Source organism: Homo sapiens, chromosome 1, assembly GCF_000001405.40.
Source record: "Homo sapiens chromosome 1, GRCh38.p14 Primary Assembly".
NCBI lineage: Eukaryota > Metazoa > Chordata > Mammalia > Primates > Hominidae > Homo > Homo sapiens.
In genome coordinates this window covers 113523192-113543539 of record NC_000001.11, presented here as the reverse complement: position 1 = coordinate 113543539, position 20348 = coordinate 113523192, and the positions used below count along the sequence as shown (strand labels likewise).

General features: G+C 36.4%; 1 protein-coding gene across 5 annotated transcripts in view, besides 1 other annotated feature; it reads right to left on the bottom strand.

The window, feature by feature from the left end:
* The window catches only part of MAGI3 (membrane associated guanylate kinase, WW and PDZ domain containing 3), a 295409-nt gene that overhangs the window by 142384 nt on the left and 132677 nt on the right, over nt 1-20348 (bottom strand). The window lies entirely within an intron of this gene.
* Nucleotides 2819-3113: a silencer, noted in NCBI's record as "tiled region #10793; HepG2 Repressive DNase matched - State 8:EnhW". NCBI's record gives its function as "represses a minimal TATA promoter and a strong SV40 promoter by Sharpr-MPRA in HepG2 cells {active_cell/tissue: HepG2}" and the evidence as "EXISTENCE:reporter gene assay evidence [ECO:0000049][PMID:27701403]".

Here is a 20348-nt window from a genome sequence, read left to right as displayed (position 1 = left end):
TGAATACATGAAATTTTAGAAGACAGTGCTCACTTAACTGATACAGCACTCTTTAATAGTCTATCTACAAGTTTATGTTAAACTGTGTTTCTTCAACAATGAAACTGATTTTATTTTGGCTCAGTCAAAACACTAAAATAAATTCTTCATCAATTTCTTCAATTCTTCATTAAAGCAGCAAGCTCTATGAGTCTTTAAAGTAGGTTTTAATTATAGTTTATATGTCAATTCATCAAATTTTGTTCTTTATTTATTAACATTTTAAAACATATTCACAAAATGGTATCTGGACTGAAATATAAAATAAGGCTAAGCTAACCATTTGAATCGATTATCTTCTGGCACCATTGGGTATAACAAGTCTACAGCAGGAAAAGCCAAAAACACTTCTTTCTGTGGAAGAGGCATAGGAATGAGACAAGAACAAGAAATGGAAACACTGATGACTAGGGCTGTTATTTTAGAATTATTATCATTATTATATACATATTAATTATATTTATTATAGTATATGCTATATGTTTTAACTCACTCCTCATGATAACCTTTGAAGTAGGTGTTATTATTATTCCCATTTTATAGGTAAGAAGCTAAAGTATTGAGAAGTCAAGTAACTTGGCCAAGGTTACACTGCTAGTAAGTGACAGACCTGGGATGTGAACACAGTCAATCTGTCTTCAGAGCCTACACTGTAAACATTGTAAGCGCTGTCCTAGAATATCCCTGTTTCTTTCTCTCTCTCCCTCTCTCTTTCTCTGTGTGTTTGTGTGTGTGCACACGCGTATGTACCTGTGTGTGTAAGAGACATGGTCCCTTTTGATGAATTTCTTCTTTTGCATAAGCTTATAGAGTACAGGTTTCCTGTTTCATAACAGCCTACTTTTCCATGACACAGTCTAGTCATTTCTGAGTTCTGAGGAGTAGGTACTTAGGGCTAAACGCAGTGAATGAGAGTGAGCCCAAAGGGAACTTAAAGTCTTGCAGGGAAGATAAACATTGAAGAAGAAATTTCAAACGTGGAAACATTATAAAAGAGAAGTACAGGAGTTCCTCTTTATCTAACGTTTTGTCTTCCACGGTTTCAGTTACCCACAGTCAGCCTTGGTCTGAAAGTATTAAATGGAAAGTTCCAGACATAAACAATTAATGAGTTTTAGATTGCATGCCATTCTGAGTGCTGCAATGAACTCAACTCCCATACCGTCCTGTTCCATCCCGCCTGGGATGTGAGTCATCCCTTTGTCCTGCTGTATCATCTCTATATCCATGCCATACATGCTACCCACACATTAGTTACTCAGTAGCTATCTTAGTAGCTGTCTGGGTTATTAGATCAAAAAACATAGTATATGTAGGATCTGGTACAATCCATGGTTTCCGGCATCCACTGGGGGGTCTTGGGACATATCCCCCAAGAATAAGGAGGGGGGGACTACTGTACAGAGTATTGTGGGAATTTACAACTTAGATCCTAAATCTGGGAGTTATGGGAAGACTTCACTAAGTGCCATTGTAGCTGAAATCTGAAAGATAAATAGGAGCCAGCAAGGCAAAAAGGGCAGTGGGGGAAATGTTGGTAGAGGAAACAAGACATGCGACAGCACTTACTTGAGCTGGGGAAGAACACAGTGGTTAGAGGAACTGAGAGAAATCCAGTGTTGCTGGCTCTTAGAAAGTGAGGAAGAGTCCACACAATCTGAGATAAGAGTTCCATAGACCAGTAGGTTACGCAGAACCTTGTAACAATAATTTAAAAGAACATCCACTAACTCAGGTCTGACACTAAAACCCTTTGCAATTCCCATAAGCTAACAACTATCAACATATTCTTTCTGGTCACCTCTATATTCCACATCTGTGTTCAAATGCTTTCTCATTATTTCTAGTCTGTCTCCTACTTAAAAGAATATATCCAAGGTTTTAAACTCAGAAGGTTTATATCTACACATTTCTCTAAGTATGCCACGCTCGTTACAGGCAAGCAGGAACTTAATGGATTTTTAAAATAATTTATATAATTAAATTCCTCTCCAGTCCCAAGTGTGAAAAGCATTAAATACTCTGGAGTCTCTTGAGCCATTTCCATTTTTAAAACTAGTCAGTTTTTCAAGTTACAGTTTGAAGAAACAGACTAAAGCAATGAAGCAATGTTATTATATTCTACATAATAGAGCCACCACCTCAGCAGTCACAAGAAAGGCTCCTGCTAACAAAGGTCACATTCTTCGTCTATATTACGAATTATGGCAATAGTAAACATTAAAATGGGAGTGTCCACTTTCCATAGGTTCCTGGAAGGGGCCATCACAAATGTATTGGTCAGATTTCATCTGTTGCCCTGGGTCCTACATATCACTGGCATTTGAAGGTCAAGCCTGCTGGTTTCCTTACACATGCCCAGAAAGGTTTTCTTTTCTCTCTCCCCTTCCTTCTTATTTCTTACATTCCTCCACTTCATCCTTCCTTTATTATTTTTTAATGCATTTATAATCAGAAGAATTATAATCATAGCTAGAGAAAGAACTCTTTGGCTTAAGCAGCCTATACATCTGGAAAATCCATGAGCTCTACCAAACTAAAAATATATATTCTAAAAGTCTAACACTGTTTATCACATGTAGAATTCCACATTAATGCAGCATCAAAATTGCTCCCTTATATTCAAATTATGTATAACTAAAACCCATCATGCTGTGGACTTTTTTTTGTTTTTATGATTTTTATTTGCTTAAAAAAGCAAGTGTTTCTGTGTATGATGTATTTACAAATAACAATCATTTCTCTAAAAAACTGTCAGACACATGGCCAGGGATCTGAGATGTAAAGAAAAAGAGGTGGTGCCCCAGAGGAAAATGCTATTGCATCTATATCTATATTCTCACTTCTGAGGCAACTACACCAGTCTGTCAACACCCAGCTCTACCCTTCTAACCTCCACACCCAATTGTTTTATCTAGTGGTTTCAGTTTTGTGTCTACTCTAACTAGTGCTCTACAGTGCTGTGTACACATAAATCTACAGTGCTGTGTACACATAAATAAGGTTAAAGCAAAAGACCTGCACATTGACCGCTTGTCCACCTGCTCTGAAAACAAGACGTGGGCAGAACTCTGGAGTCCACACTAAGAAGGTCATCTTTTCATCTCTCCTCCCCATTGGTTCTTGCCACAGAACAGTGGGTACGTGTCTGCTTCCCTCACTGGATCTTAAGCATGTGTGAAGTCAGAAATTATGTTTTGTGTGTCTCTGTATCCTCCAAAATATCTAGCATAGTGCTAAATAAACGCTTGTCTTAAACGTGCAAAAATGACATTTTAAATAATGTGATTGTTATACTGATAGTGTTTCCAATAAATTCATATTAGAAAAATACTTTTACTGTAGACTTCAAAGACACACAAACCCTTTCACTAAGCAACATCATTAAAAGTAATGTTTTGGCCAGGTATGGTGGCTCACACCTGTAATTCCAGCACTTTTGAGAAGCTGAGATGGGTGGATCGCTTAAGCCCAGGAGTCCGAGACCATCTCTATTTTTTGTAGAGATGGGTAAAATGCTGTCTGTATTTTAAAAATACAAAAAATTAGCTGGGCGTTGTGGTGCACACCTATAGTCTTAGCTACCTGGGAGGTTGAAGAGGGAGGATCACCTAAGCCAGGGAGGTCGAAGCTACAGTGAGCCATGATCGCACCACTGCACTCCAGCATGGGGAACAGAATGAGATCCTATCTCAAAAAAAAAAAAAAAAGTAATGCTTCAATATATGACAATGCAGTCCAATGCTCATGATATATTTTAAATGAAAAAAAGCAAGTTACAAAATAAAATATTTGGTATGAATCCAAATTAAACATAACTGAATATATGCAAATACCTAATGCTAGATGACGAGTTAGTGGGTGCAGCGCACCGGCATGGCACATGTATACATATGTAACTAACCTGCACATTGTGCACATGTACCCTAAAACTTAAAGTATAATAATAATAAATTAATTAATTAAAAAAAATGTAAGCGACACACATAAAACAAACTCATTCTTAAATACTTAACAATACTTAAGGTATTATCAAAGGATGTAATTACCTTGTGATTTTGAAAAGCATTTTAAATAAACTTTTTGCTTTTTCTTTTTTTTTTTTTTCTGAGACGGAGTCTCTCTCTGTCACCAGGCTGGAGTGCAGTGGCGTGATCTTGGCTCACTGCAACCTCCACCTCCCGGGTTCAAGCAATTCTCCTGCCTCAGCCTCCCGAGCAGCTGGGACTACAGACGCACACCACCACGCCCAGCTAATTTTTGTATTTTTAGTAGAGATGGGGTTTCACCATGTTGGCCAGGATGGTCTCGATCTCTTGACCTCATGATCCACCCGCCCTGGCCTCCCAAAGTGCTGGGATTACAGGAGTGAGCCACCACATCCGGCCTTAAATAAACTTTTTTCTTTAAAAACATTTTTCTTCATAGCTTTTGTTTTTCAAATTTTCTGCAGTGAAAATATGTTACTATAATGAAAAAAAAAGTTTTACAAACTGGAAACCAAATTGTGAAAAATTGTGCCCTTTAAATGTCATTAATGGAAAAGGAGGCCTAACATAGTGGACCATTATGACAAAAAACTTCCAAGTTCTACATGAAAGCTGAGACTATTTGTGTAGGCTTTTCTTTGGTCAGCTGTCTTCAAAATAAATATTATTTTCACCATTCCTAGGATAAATTGCAATCATTTCTCTTTTAACTGAAACTCTCAGTCAACGGATAAACTAAAGAACTAAAACCTATGTTTGAAAAATAAGATGGAAATCATCATTCTAGACAAGACACAACAAAATCACCACAACCTCCCCTTAAAAGGTCATATATCAGGAAGGGCAAAGTAAGATGGGACCTTCCTAGCAGAACAGAGTAGAAAAAGTGAAAAAGTAAATAATCAAAATTGGGTCCTTTTCTTTTCTAAACTTTTTATGGGATTATGAACATTTAGTACTTAAAAAAAACCCAGCATTTTAGAAGTGTTATCCTGAGGCTATTTACAATTTTTTCTTTGTGACGCTCACATCAGGAATCATTAGCAAACCTGTCGTAATGCCAGATAACCAATGCCTGGCTGGCACACCAATAACTGAGTCATATTATATGCTTCATCCTTTTGACAGGAGCGTACAAAACCATCTATTGTGCACTGTCATTTTCACTGAAAACATAATAACTGGGTTTAGTAGTCTTTACAAATCAAAGTTATGCACTTCAACAGAATGTCCAAGACTTGAGGTGGAAGATCTGTTACTGATATTTCATTACAACAGCTAATAAAGAGACAGCTGAAAGGGAATATTGACCCAAAAAAGATGATAATTAGAGAATTCATAGTGTGTTTTAAGAGACTTCATTATTGTAAACAATTTCAACCTCTGGATTCAGGCAGTAGGCTGATATAATTAACCAATATGAAAGGAACAATTTAATAGTTTTCTTTTCTCTGATAGCTTTTAAAAATATATACTGACCCTCAGAACTTTTCTGCAGTAAATGGTTAAAGATCCCCAAAATTCTATTATACATCAAAAGTAATCTGAGTCCAGAGAGAGTCAACATACATTCAACAAACAAAATAATTTAAGTATTTCCAATTTCCATTTCTAATCTCTCTTTAATCAATAACACATTTAAAATATTTTTTAAAATGATCCTTCAAAATGTAAAATGTCTGTTCAAGAACTGGAAGAGTCTTCTAGGCAACATGACAATATAAGTCACTTTTACAAAAATCCCTCTTTTCAACACAGAAAATGAGAAAAAATAATCAAAAATGAAAGAAAAAATTTATTATCTCTTAAAAACGTTATCAACTCCAGAAAATACAAAACAATTTGGACTACACTGAGGGAATGCCAAAAGCTGACAAGCAACTCTCTAGCTCATAAGGACAGCACGTTTTGCAAACTCTGAATAGAAAATATCCGGAAGGCCTCCACTGACATCCCCAGTTTACGTGAGCTATCAGAAAGCACGGCAGGACTGAAGGTGGAACTCACTGGCCAAACTCATTGGCCATTTTTCTTCTGTACAAGGTTCTTAACTGGGAGGTGTGATGTCAGTAGGCAAACCTACTTCAAAGCTGCAGACGACAGTAACTTGAGAGTGGAATAGTACATGACAAAAAGTGTATGAGCTGTGGCAGAGTACCTTCTAATTCACCATGAGTTCACCCTGAAGCAGAGGGAGCCAAATGAAGCCACCATGCCTGCTCCCAACAGGGAAAGCAAAAATTCCCAATGCCTAGGAGCAAAAGACAAAAATTCATAGAGAAACGGAGATAAAGCTACCAAAATGTTCCCTCGGCTCTAGCTCCCTCCTTACCCACTACTACCAATGCAGGCATTTTAATAGCTAAATAGAGGCTATCTGCTATCTATATCAAGCTGAAGACTTCATGTGCTAATGGTAAGAGCCAAGTTGTACCAAGGTAAACTGAAAAGGTAGTCAAGAAATAGCACTAATGGGCTTTATGTAAAGAAGTAAGAAAATTAGACTGGCATATTAAAAAAGTAACTTTGTGTGGAGAATGTACAGGGGGGCAAGAATAGCTATGGGGCCTGCAATTAAACAGTGAGGGCCACTGTCCAGGTAAGAGATGATTTTGATTTACAGTGGTAGTGAAGGAGAAAAGGAGATGGATTTGAGATTCACTGTACAAACCCATATATATGAAGAGTTTTTCAATATCAAAAACTATCCTTAGAAGAGGAAATCATCTTATATTTGAACCTTAGAATATTTCAGATTACAGACTGACATACAAATTATTTTGTTCTGAAAAATCACAAAGTACTCTCTGGAACAGTCATGTTAGCTGGAACCAACAACAATTGCTTCAAGAGATAATTTGACACAACTGGTAAAAAAAAAAAGAAAAAAGTAAGCAAAGTAAGAAGATTTAGTAATTATTCCATGACGTATTACCTCCCTGCTGTGTGTGTTAGATGTCACCATCAAGCAATATTTCAGTGATCATTTGAAAAAAGCAATTCAGTCCATGCTTAGGTAACAGGATCATGAATATATGCCAACAGAAAAAGTAGGGGGAAAAATTCTGCCCTAATTGTACTTGGAACTGAGACAGCATTATACACAGATTCAAAAAATACATTATCTCAAACAACTTAGATGGAAGGGAGGAGGAGATGATCTGGAAAACTGTATTAGATGACTCATTCCAGTGTTGAAAAAGCACCAACAAAATTTTTGTATGACACAGTGGCAAACCCTGTATCTCTAAATTGTGAGTTTAAATACATGTATAATTAAATTAAATATTAGAAGTAGAAATTTGATTATATCCCTAACAGTTAGATTCATACTGTCTAATCAAATTTTTTTAAAAAAAAAAAAAAACACATGTCTTCTAGTAATTGTGGACAGCTTAAGAACAGGCTCTTCTTGTATTTGGCTATACATGGGATTGTGGGTAGAAGCCATAATAGTTGGTGGTACATTTGACAGGAAGATTCAGGGAGAGAGGCAGAGACAAAAAATAATAATGACTCCAGGTTTCTCATTTGAGAAACCAGGTAAATTTAAGTTCTATTTAAAGAAAAATAGAAAGGAGAAGAACAGGTTTCAGAATTGAGGCAGGAAATCAGGTTGGATTGGGGCATGTTGTTTTGATATGTTGGTGAGACGGACACCTTGTAGAAATATCAAGTAGGTTGTTGGATATAACTATGTGGAATTCAGAGAAGAGCTCTGAATTTAGGGCTGGAAATTGGAAGACTTTACCTCACAGAGAGTAACTGACAATAATCTAGCTTTGAAAGAGATGTGCGGTAATAAGTATTTTCATGCACTATTAATGAGGGCATACAGTTGCACAACGTTTCTGAAAGGCATTATGGCAATATCTATTAACATATACTTGCATATCCTCTTAGAAAAAGATCTACTAAGGTAATATTCAAATACAAATGTAAAAAAATGTGTCCAACTATAGGGAACTGATGAGTACATCATTAATAATGAAACGTGTCTTCAACTACTGATTTATAATGTTTAAATATATTGAGTTAAAAAAAAGAGGAAGGTGCAGAATAGCATTTAGTATACAATATTTACAAAATTGGTACATGTTTCTTATATGTGTATGCAAAACATATTCTAAAATGTGCTTATTTCTCAGTGGCAAGACAATGAAGAATTTTTATCCTCCTCTTCATAACTTTCTATTGAGAGGTTTTTTTTTTAAGCGAACAACAAAAGTATACCATTTTTTAGAAATCTATAAAGCTTCTGTTTTTTCCCCTATTCTTTTAAGTGCTTAAGAATTAGAGCAAATATAATCTTTGAGGCAAACAATAAAAACAAGAGAATAAGACCACCCTGGCCGAGTACAGCTTGCTTTCAAATTTCAGAGCTGCATAACTAGGAACACATGTGAAAGCTGAGCACCATCCCAGGCTTCAGACCAAACAATTAAGCTAGAGAAGTCAGTCCTGGTTGACTTAAGCCTGTAATTTGGTTACTGAAATGAATACTAACTGGGCCTTTTGCAGGCCACTTACAGAACTGGTTCCTCTACCCTGACCCAGTGACTGAATACCATATGGTGATTTAAGGCAATTTACTGTTAAGACCACATCTTAGGGATTAGTAAATTATGTACAAGAAAACATGGACAGGAGAAAAACAATTAAACAGTCTGATTCCAATAAAAATACTTCCCATAAAAAAGAAAAAAAAATCACATGATAGAGGTGATCATTACTTTCTCCCTTAAAATAAATAAAACGAAGAGGACAGAAGGGTAATAAAACAAAATACCAAGCACTATGCTAGGCATGGGGGATATAAAAATCACAAAGTAATACCTGTCTTTGGTGTCATAATGGTCACCCCAGTGTTATAGTATCATAAACCAGTCTAAACAAATAACTACAAAAGCCAGTTAAGAAGCATGTACAAGGTACATAGGAGTATGTACCCAAGAGAAAATAATTGTGACTGGTAGGGGAAGCCAGGCAACATAGACTGGAAGAATGAATGGAGAGGATAGATAGAGGGAGCACAGTGGGCATTCCAGGCAGGAGAAAGGGCATGCTGAATGGCATGGAAGGAAAGGCAAGGCCGCAAGGGATTATATGACTAGAGTGATAGGCGGGAGGCTCAGATGAAAGAAGGATCTAACTCATGACCTTAAAGGATTAGAGCATTACTCTGTGGTGAAGTCACTAAATATTTTACCAGGATGCATGACATAGCCAGACTTGTATTTTAGATGGATCATTCTGGCAACAATGTGGACTATGGGAAAAGCAGAACAGTTGGAGGGCACTAACAGCAGCACAGGATAAATTTAGCCACAAACCAATTAATACTGGCAGTAGAAGCAGCATTAGAAGAATCAGCGCAGCAGAAAATTGTATTGGTGAAATAGGAGGCAGAGTCAAGAAACATACTAAACATAAGAAATTAGCTGAGACGTGAAGTGAATGAATGCTCACAGATGTGCAGGGGAAGTGCTGTGATTCAAACTTCAAATTATAGGTGTCCCTGCAGGAGAAAAGAGAATGAACTAAATGTTTAATAAACAAGAAGCACAGTTGAAGAAAACTCAAAAATTAAAAAGAAATTACATTGAAATGAGAATATTAATATTCACCGTGTCCCAAGAAAAAGGTAAAAACAACAGCATCATAAAGACAAATTTAAATTCTTTAGCTATGGGGACGGGGAATCTGATTCCAAAAAAAAAAAAAAAGAAAAAGAAAAGATATTTAAACAGTCCAAATCAAGGGAGATTAAGATGAAAACTCTGTGATGAAAGACACGGTGTGTTATCTGTATTCCGTTCGCTTGGCAACAAGGTCTTTCTGAGTTGTGGTGGTAATGGTGGTTTTAAATTAATAGATATATAGCTAAATTTCATCTATCTTTTTATCTTTATTTTTCAACTTTTACTTTAGGTTCGGGGGATACACGTGCAGGTTTGTTACATGGGTAAATTGAGTGACACTGGAGTATGGTATACAAATGATCTTGTCACCCAGACAGTGAGCATACTACCCAATAAGTAGTTTTTTGACTCTCACTCTCCTCCCACCCTCCACCCTGAAGGAGACCCCAGGGTCTATTGCTCTCCTCTTTCTATCCATGTGTACTCAATGTTTAGCTACCATTTATAAATGAAAACATGTGGATTTGGTTATCTGTTGTTGTGTTAATTGATTTAATGTAATGGCCTACAGCTGCACTGAAGTTGCTGCAAAGGACATGATTTTGTTCATTTTATGGCTGCATAGTATTCCATGGTGTATATGTACCACATTTTCTTTTATTTTTTTCTTCAGAGAGACACGAAACAAGTAATCCGGAGGTCTATGACTAAAGCTAAAAGAAAACCATATAACTTAGAGCTGCTGTAGGCAAATACTAATACTACGTTATTTAGCTACTGTGATGAAAAAATAAACAGGTGTCACATGAGAAAAAACAAGGCACACAGGTAACGAGACCAATAGATACAGGGGAGAGGTACAATCCACACACCACCTTATTTTTCATGGTCAAAATGAATGGATGTCAGAAGTTACTGCTTTCTAGAGAGATGTAAATTAATCTCAATTCAGTTGGAAAAAGTCTGTTGTAAGTTCAAGTAAGCACTAACATCAATTCTTTGTAGCTCTTTAATAACATACATCTTCATATATTACATGATTCTATTACCTTGTTTTTGACATGATGAGACAGATTTACAATACATACACTTAAAATTAACATTTCCAAGCTCTCTAATAAATAATTCACAAGTACCTTAACCTCAGTAAACACGAGATACTTTGTTAAATTTTAAATTCAAAATTAAAACCAAATACACTTTTGTTGCTATTGAAGAATACTATCGTATTTAAAAGAGGGACCAGTAGGCAAAAAGTGCCACTGAGGAGAAATTATTCTTAGAGATCAGGATTTTTAAAGAAACAGATGTGACAATTTAGAAGAGACATTAAAAAATAAGACAACTGACAATTAAAAAGCTGTTAGTGATAAGATTATGAGTGGCTATGCTCTGTCTTTACACTTTTGTCTTAAATGTTGTTACCATTTTTACAACTTAAAAAAAAAAGTAGAAAAGGTCCAATACAAACATGCAGGTAACACTATAAAGACAAAGATAATATATATATAAATACTGACTGAAAGGGAATTTGCAGACATGGAGATAAAATTTCATGTTCAATTCTGTTTCTGGGAAGCTGTTTATATATAATATAAAAGTTTAATAACTGCAATACAAACATTCATATTTGACTCTATAAAATGAATATACAATTTTTCTTTCTTAGCAAAGTATAAATAGTCTTTAAGCAGTAGGGCTATATTTATGTGATAATTATTTTAATTAAATTGCCTAACTCAATTCAGTGAAGAAACCAATTTAACTGATTTTATTGGTTAAATTACTAATTTCTAATTATGTAGCTCTTATTGTATTATGGTATATTATAAAATTTAAAAGAACCACTGATGTTTGTTCTCACTTTATAGCAGTGATTCAGAGACTTAAGAACTGAATTATATCTTAAAAGAAACTGTGTAAGAAATTCCAATGTATAAAAACAGATGAAACTGTGAGTCCAATTTGAAAAGCTCTACTTCAACAGTTTCCTAGGCTCATACATATGAAGTTGTTTTAGTTCCTTAGTGTGGCTGCAGTATGCATAAGCCACCTTAAAGGGAGACATGGTGATTTCTGTTGTGTATCATGTTGAGTACTAAGGTTTCGAGAAAGGTACCCTGTCCCCGCCCCAGCCCCCCACCCGACCCCCACCCCCCGCAATACCACTTATGTTCAAACATAGAGTCGGGGAAAAACTACCACCAAAACAAATGGCAAAATAAATGACTAGGCATTTTATAGAAAAAGAAATGCACGACCTTTAAACTTATAAAAGCCTTCACTCATAAGATGAATGCTAATTAAAACAATATGATTTCTCACCATCAGACTGATGAAACATTCAACAACACTCTGTTGGTGAGGTTGGGAAGAAACAGATAGTCTCATACTTTGCTAGTGGATACAGTGGCATACCAAAGGTAGGGTGGTAGAAGCAGATCACCCTTGAGGCCCACAACAAGGGGGTGCATTCTACATAGAGAACTTAAAAATTAAACCTAACTAAAAATTATTCTGCTTTTTATCATCAAGTGCCAGCAATTCTAAACAATGTCAGTGATAAAAATACTCCCTGAAAAAGAATTTGTGTTCTAAATTCTAAATAATTGTTCCAGTGACTGTTAAGTTTTAATAACCTGTATGTAAGCTTTAAATTAGCAGATTTTTATTACTTATTTCTCAATAAACACTGATTTATATATGAAAATTAACTTAAAAAAAAAGAAAGTGGAGAACTCACAGTTTAGCCTCTGATGCACATGGACTCAGTTACATTTATTCAGAAGTTAATTTTGTAATGTTTCAAAATTATTCAAGTTTCCTTTGAGTACAGTTTATGTCTCTAGCCCCTATGACACCATATATTTCTGCATTTAAATAATATATTCCAAATAAATAATGATCAGTGTATGCTGTTTCTCTTTTTCTCTTTCCTTTCCTTTTCTTTTTTTGAGACAGGGGCTTGCTCTGCTGCCCAGGCTGGAGTGCAGTAGTACAATCACAGCTTACGGCAGCCTCGACCCCCTAGGCTCAAGCAATCCTCCCACCTCAGCTTCGCGAGTAGCTGGGACTACAGGTGCACACCACCAGGGCTTATTTTTGTATTTTTTTAGAGATAGGGTTTCACTATGTTGCCCAGGCTGGTCTTGAACTCCTGGGCTCAAGCAATCCTCCTGCCTCAGCCTCCGAAAGTGCTGGGATTACAGGCATAAGGCCGCTGCACCTGGCCTTGTTTCTCTTTTCTAAGTTGTCTTTTTTTTTTTTAACTTTTATTTTAGGTTTCTGGGTACATGTGCAGTATTGTTATATAAGTGCGTGTCATGGGGGCTTGGTGTACAAATTATTTGGTCACCCAGGTAATAAGCATAGTGCCCAACAGGTATTTTTTTTAATCCTCTCCCTCCTCCCACCCTCTACCCTCAAATAGGCCCTGGTGTCTGTTGTTCCCGTTTGTGTCCATGTATTCTTGTTTAGCTCCCACTTAGGAGAACATACAACATTCGGTTTTCTGTTCCTGCGTTAAGTTGTCTTTTTTTTTTTTTTCCTTTCTGGTAGGAAGTTTTAGATGAGCTAATCAGACACAAAAATGTTTGCAGACAGCCGGAATCAACTTTCAACAATGGACAATAAAACATAAAGCTTTAAAACTGTTATTTAAAGAACAGTACATAGAAACTGTGGCTATGGTCATTACTCAAAAATAAAATGTGAGGAAATGGACATTTATATTGAGAAAAGAACAAAAATGTGAAGAATGCTAAGGGAAACAACAAAAGATGCTGCTTTTACATTACTAGAAGAAACCAAATGGCACTGTTTATTTGAATGCACAGTTATAAACTAGTGGGTCAAATAGCATCAATGCCCACTATCACACAGTCATTTTCTCTGCATTTTCCAGAAAAAGAAAAACTTTCAGAAGTTTTTTAAAAAAACAAATAGAAAAACTTAAGATGAATTTTCTGGTGAAAATATTTTAATAAACATTTTCTGTACTGTAATATTTATTTTATTTTTAATTTATTTTTATTGGCATGATTATATATTCATCATTCAATAAAATAAAATATAATGTTTATATCTCATTTCTACCCATTATTATATTTTGTTTTATTTCATGGTTATTTTTGAAAATAATTTTGTCATATAGGAGAGATATATATTAAAAAGTTATCTGCTTTAGGCATCAAATATACTAGGCATGCCTCTATGGAGTACAAGATGATACATCCAGTATAGAAGAAAAAATAAGGATAGTTAGAGTTGTAGTACTGCCACAGACTAAATATTTATGTTCCCCCAAAATCATATGCTGACACCTAACCCCCAGTGTAATGGTATGAGGAGGTGGGGCCTTTGATAGGTGATTAGATCATGAGGACAGAGCCTGCATCAATGGGAACAGCGTCCAATAAAAGAGAACCCAGAGAGCTCCTTAACCTTCTGCCTCATAAGGACACAGCAAAAAGATGGACATCTTTGAACTAGGAATTGAGCCCTCATCAGGCATCAAATCTGCTGGCACCTTCAACCTAGTACTTCCCAGCCTCCAGAACTGTGAGAAATAAATGTTTGTTGTTTGAACCACTCAGTTTATGGAATTTTCATTATAGCAACGCTAATTAACAAGGACAGTTACACAGTTATATCACAACACATAGAAACACACTAGGAGGCTAAACTAGAAATGAATAAAAATGTTTACCTATGACAGGGTGGTAAAAGGACAGAGGTAGAGGGTAGATGTACAAAATAAAAGCCAAACTTCTCCAACTATACTTTATAATATAGTGTGACTTCTGAACCAACAAAAGTTTTATAAATTCAAGAGAATAAAACTAAATATAAGATCTAAATAAGCAAACTTTGACCGAAAACAAGTAGAAACAAATGAACTTAATTGCTTGTCAAATCAGTAACATAACCACATGAGAACAAAAAATATTTCAAGTCACTTTTGAACATAGTATTCTGACTTACATTCTTATTGGCATATATTCTAAGGACAATAAAAACTATTAAAAATATTGAACCTCACATTATGCTTATAGTATTAACACTGGGTTTTGTCATTTTAAACCTATTTTTGTGTACTGTAGGATAAAGCAAATAAGTAATTATGTTGTTCATTTCCAGGTGCAAAATTCTTATTTACCTAAGAATGCCAGCTAACAATGTACAAGGAACGATAGAATTAGCAACTCCCGATGAAATAACTGATTCAGTCATCAATAAATGCTAAGCCATTTAGTATGAAATTATTCCCACCAATTTCCTGCTAATCTCAAAGGAGAAAAGTATTTTATTACACAGAAAAGATCAAACTTATTATTGCTAATCTGATAGCCATTTGATGCAATACAATATGAAGTTTACAGTGTCATCTATGAAGTATTTTTGCCAAAACATTTAATCTGAATAGAATCAACTTGGTTTACATTCCAGTTTATAGGAATTACAAAGGATAGATGAACAAGACAAATGATACCATGAAGAAGCAATCAGACAAATTTAGAATTTAGAACATTCTGCTCTCTTAAAAAGTCTCCTCCTTTCAAAAAAAAAAAAAAAAGGTTGGGGGAGGTGAAGATTTTCAAACAAAAGAGACTAAAGAGGTATAACACCTAAAGGCAATATGTCAACTTCAGTTGGATCCTGTTTAGGAAGGGAAAAAAAAGCCATAAAAAATATTTTTGTGATAACTGGGAAAATTTGACTATAAACTGGATAGTAGCTAATATTAAGATATTACTGTCAATTTTCTTAGATGTGATAGTGGTGTTGTGAGGTATAATATGGAATACATGCTAAATATTTTAGGATTAAAGTGTCATAAAATTTGCAATTTACTTTGAAATGGTTTCACTAAACACAGACATGTACGCATACACACACATACTTATAGATAGGTGGGTATGGAATCTAAGTGGTGGTTATATGGGTATTCATTGTCCTGTTCTTTCTAATTTTCTGTATGCTTGAAAATTTTCATAATAGTTGAAAAAATATAGAATTCCTTAGTAAATACAATATTAACTAATTCTAGCAATAGGTACTTAAGACAAATAATTTATAGAAAGACTTAACTCATTCTTTGCTATTCTGCCAATTAAGAATGAATCTTTTATCTTTTTTCCTTAAGTCAGATCCAAAACAGAAAATAATCAGCAACATCTTCCCTGTGTTAGCAAAGTGACTTCTCTGCAGTTTCCTCAATAGATGAATGATTTTCTTTCATCTAGCTGCCCATTTTACTCACCTCAATATCCTCTGAAGACCAACCTAATTTAAATGAAGTTGTATTGAATGCTGAAAGTTTTCTAAACTTTCCATTTGGCACCAAGTTTTATACTTTGGCTTCTGGCCTAAATAATAAATTCTTAAAGATAACACAATCTTTTATATGCCTTTCTCCCTATTTAACTAGTTCTTCATTTGGGTGAATTCATTCTATTTCCACAGCTTAATTATCACCTATATTCTAGTAATTTTCAAACTGATATCCTCAACTCTTTCTCCCTACTTCCAAATTCATGTGCCTATTGAGCGATGCCAACTGGAAAAGCCTCTCAAACTCAGCAAATCCAAATGTGAATGCATCAGACCTCCTCCCTGCCCGCCCCCGCCACACACATAAAATCTGCCACAATTCACCTCAACTGCCATTTTAAAAATCTAGGAGTTAGCCTTGGCTCTTTTTCTCCCCCTCACTGACATATCAAATCAGTAATAATAATATTAACAATTGCAACAATAACTATTATAGAACACTTATATGATACTTACTATGTACCTGGCACCTGTTCTAAATTCTGTACATATATTAATTCTTTTAGTTCTCACAATAATCCTATAAAATGAGTACTGTTTTTCTTCCCATTTTACAGATGGGGAGAATGAGGCATAGGGAGGTTTAATAACTGACCCAAATTTACAAAGCTACTAAGTGACAGACTTAGGACTTGAACCCAGATGTCTGGGCTCTACAGTCTTTTTCTTAATTAATATGTTATACCTCTTCTTCAATCACCAAATACTGTTGATACCATCTCCCAAATATTTCTCAAACTCATTCAGTTCTCTCCATTTCAATGACTACTACCTTAATCCGGGTCACCAACATCTTTAGCCTGATTGAGCCAACAGCTTCCTAACTGGACTCCCTGCCACCAGCTTTGTTTTCCAATTTTCCTAAAGTACAAATCTGCTTATATCATACTTCTACTTTTGTAGGTAACCTTCCAATTGAGCTAAGAGTAGCCTTCAAATCCCTTAATGTGGTTTATAAGACCTCCAGCATTCCCTTTCAGCCTCTTCTCCTGCCACCCTGTAGTTCCTTCTCCATACTGCATACCCACCGTCATTCTGACATTCCTCAAATATTAGGTTCTCTCTCTCTCATACGTAGAGCTTGGGATGTGATGTTCCTTTTCTCTGGAACACTCTTCCCCTAACCCCTTGTCTGGTTGTCTCATAATACCTTTATACCTACATTAATATGTCTATACACAGATACTATATCTTTGGAGAGGTCTCTCTAATCTCCCAGTTCTAAGTTAGCTGCCCTTCTTATTTGCTCCCCTAGGACTCTGTAAGCTCCTCATCACATATACCCACATGCCTTATCACACTGTACTACACTTTCCTAACAGCTTGCCTCACTCCCTGGATTTCAAACATTAGGAGAACAGGAACAACTTAGCAAGAGCTCAATAAATATTAAAGAATTAATAAAATGAGACTGAAATATTTTTAAAGCCTTTTTCAAATAAAACAACTTTTTTGGTCTAATTTTTTTCTTTATAAACCTAATCTTTTGGAATATTCTACTCAAAATATGTTTGTTTTGTTTTGTTTTGTTTTTTTGAGATGGAGTCTCACTCTGTCACCAGGCTAGAGTGCAGTGGTGCAATCTTGGCTCACTGCAATCTCCGCCTCCCAAGTTCAAGCGATTCTCCTGCCTCAGCCTCCTGAGTAACTTGGATTACAGGCATGCGCCACCACATCCAGCTAATTTTTGTACTTTTACTAGAGACGGGGTTTCACCATGTTGGCCAGGATGGTCTCAATCTCCTGACCTCGTGATCTGCCTGCCTCAGCCTCCCGAAGTTCTGGGATTACATACCTGGCCAATATGTATTTTATTTTTAATGATCTTTCACATAACCCAAATTATCTCCATTATTTATTTATCTTCTAAAAACTTTAAAGTTTAATTAATTAAACCACATTAGTTATTAAATAATTAAATAATAAAATGTAGCCTTCATTTAATAGTTAAATTATTTCATATAATAGTTAAATAATTTAACTATTAAATGAAGGCTACTTTTACTATCATTTAATTATTTAGTTCAATGAAGACCACAGAGAGGAAATATAATTTAACAAAGTCTGTTATCTTTCAATCAGTATGTGCAGTTTTCAAAAGAACATGTTACAAAGCAAGCTACTGCCCTATAGTCTTCTAAAATGTCAAAGTCACAAGAAGACAGGAAAAAAGGAAGGAAGACTGGTCTAAATTAACAGACTGAAGAGTCAGGACAACTAAAGCAAATGTGATTCTTGTTTAGTTCCTAGACGTTTTTAAACAGAGAGAGAAAGAATAAAAAAAGGAAAAAGCTATAAAGGAAATTTTAGGAACAATTGGGAAATTGTGAACACAGCCTGTGTATTAGTCCGTTTTCATGTTGCTGATAAAGACATAACCTGAGACTGGACAATTTAACAAAAGAAAGAGGTTTAATGGACTCACAGTTCCACATGGCTGGGAAGGCCTCACAATCATGGTGGAAGGTGAAAGGCATGTCTCACACAGTGGCAGACAAGAGAAGAGAGCTTGTGCAAGAAAACTCCCCTTTATAAAACCATCGGATCTCATAAGACTTACTCACTATCATGAAAATAGCATGGGAAAGACCCACCCCCATGATTCAATTTCCTCCCCTGGGGTCTCTCCCACAACATGTGGGAATTGTAGCAGTTACAATTCAAGATGAGATTTGGGTGGGAACACAGCCAAACCATATCATTCTGCCCAGGGTCCCTCCCAAATCTCATCTCTTCACATTTCAAAACCAATCATGTCTTCTAACAGTTCCCCAAAGTCTTAACTCATTTCAGCATTAACTCAAAAGTTCAGTCAAATGTCTCAACTGAGACAAGGCAAGTCCCTTCTGCCTATGAGCCTGCAAAATCAAAAGCAAGTTAGTAACTTCCTAGACACAATGGGGATACAGGCATTGGATAAATACACCCATTCCAAATGGGAGAAATTGGCTAAACAAAGGGGCTAAAGACCCCATGCAAGTCCGAAATCTAGTAGGGCAGTCAAATCTTAAAGCTCCAAAATTATCCCCTTAGACTCCATGTCTCACATCCAGGTCATGCTGATGCCAGAGGTGGGTTCCCATGGTCTTGGGCAGCTCTGTCCCTGTGGCTTTGCAGGGTACAGCCTCCTTCCTGGCTGTTTTCATGGGCTGGTGTTGAGTGTCTGCAGCTTTTCTGGTGCAAGCTGTCTGTGGATCTACCATTCTGGGGTCTGGAGGATGGTGGCCCTCTTCTCACATCTCCACGAGGCAGCACCCCAGTGGGGACTCTCTGTGGGCATACCCACCCCACATTTTGCTTTGGCACTGCCTTAGCAAAGGTTCTCCATGAGTGCCCCATCCCCGCAGCAAACTTCTGCCTGGACATCCAAGCATTTCCATAAATCCTCTGAAATCTAGGCAGAGGTTTCCAAATCTCAATTCTTGACTTCTATGCACCTGCAGGCTCAACACCACATGGAAACTGCCAGAGCTTAGGGCCTGCAACCTCTGAAGCCATGGCCCGAGCTGTACCTTGGCCCCTTTTAGTCACAGCTGGAGTGGCTGGGACACAGGGCACCAAGTCCCTAGACTGCACACAGCAGAGGGATCCCGGCCCAGCCCACTGAACAATTTTTTCCTCCTCGGTCTCCAGGCCTGTGATGGAAGGGGCTGCCGCAATGGTCTCTGACATGCCCTAGAGACATTTTCCCCACTGACTTGGGGATTAACATTTGGCTCCTCGTTACTTATGCAAATTTCTGCTGCTGGCTTGAATTTCTCCTCAGAAAATGGGATTTTCTTTTCTATCACATTGTCAGGCTGCAAATTTTCCAAACTTTTATGTTCTGTTTCCCTTTTAAAACTGATTGCCTTTAATAGCACCCAAGTCACCCCTTGAATGCTTTACTACTTAGAGATTTCTTCCACCAGATACACTAAATCATTTCTCTTAAGTTCAAAGTACCACAAATCTCTAGGGCAGGGGCAAAATGCTGCCAGTCTCTTTGCTAAAACATAACAAGAGTCACCTTTGCTCCAGTTCCCAACAAGTTCCTCATTTCCATCTGAGACCACCTCAGCCTATATTTCAGTGTCCATATCATTACCAGCATTTCGGTCAAAGCCATTCAACAAGTCTCTAGGGAGTCCCAAACTTTCCCAGATTTTCCTGTCTTCTTCTGAGCTCTCCAAACTGTTCCAGCCTCTACCAAGTTCCAACGTCACTTCCACATTTTTGGTTATCTTTTCAGCAGTGCCCCAATCTACCAGTATCAATTTACTGTATTAGTCCATTTTGATGCTCCTGATAAAGACATACCAGAGACTGGGCAATTTACAAAAGAAAGAGATTTAATGAACTTACA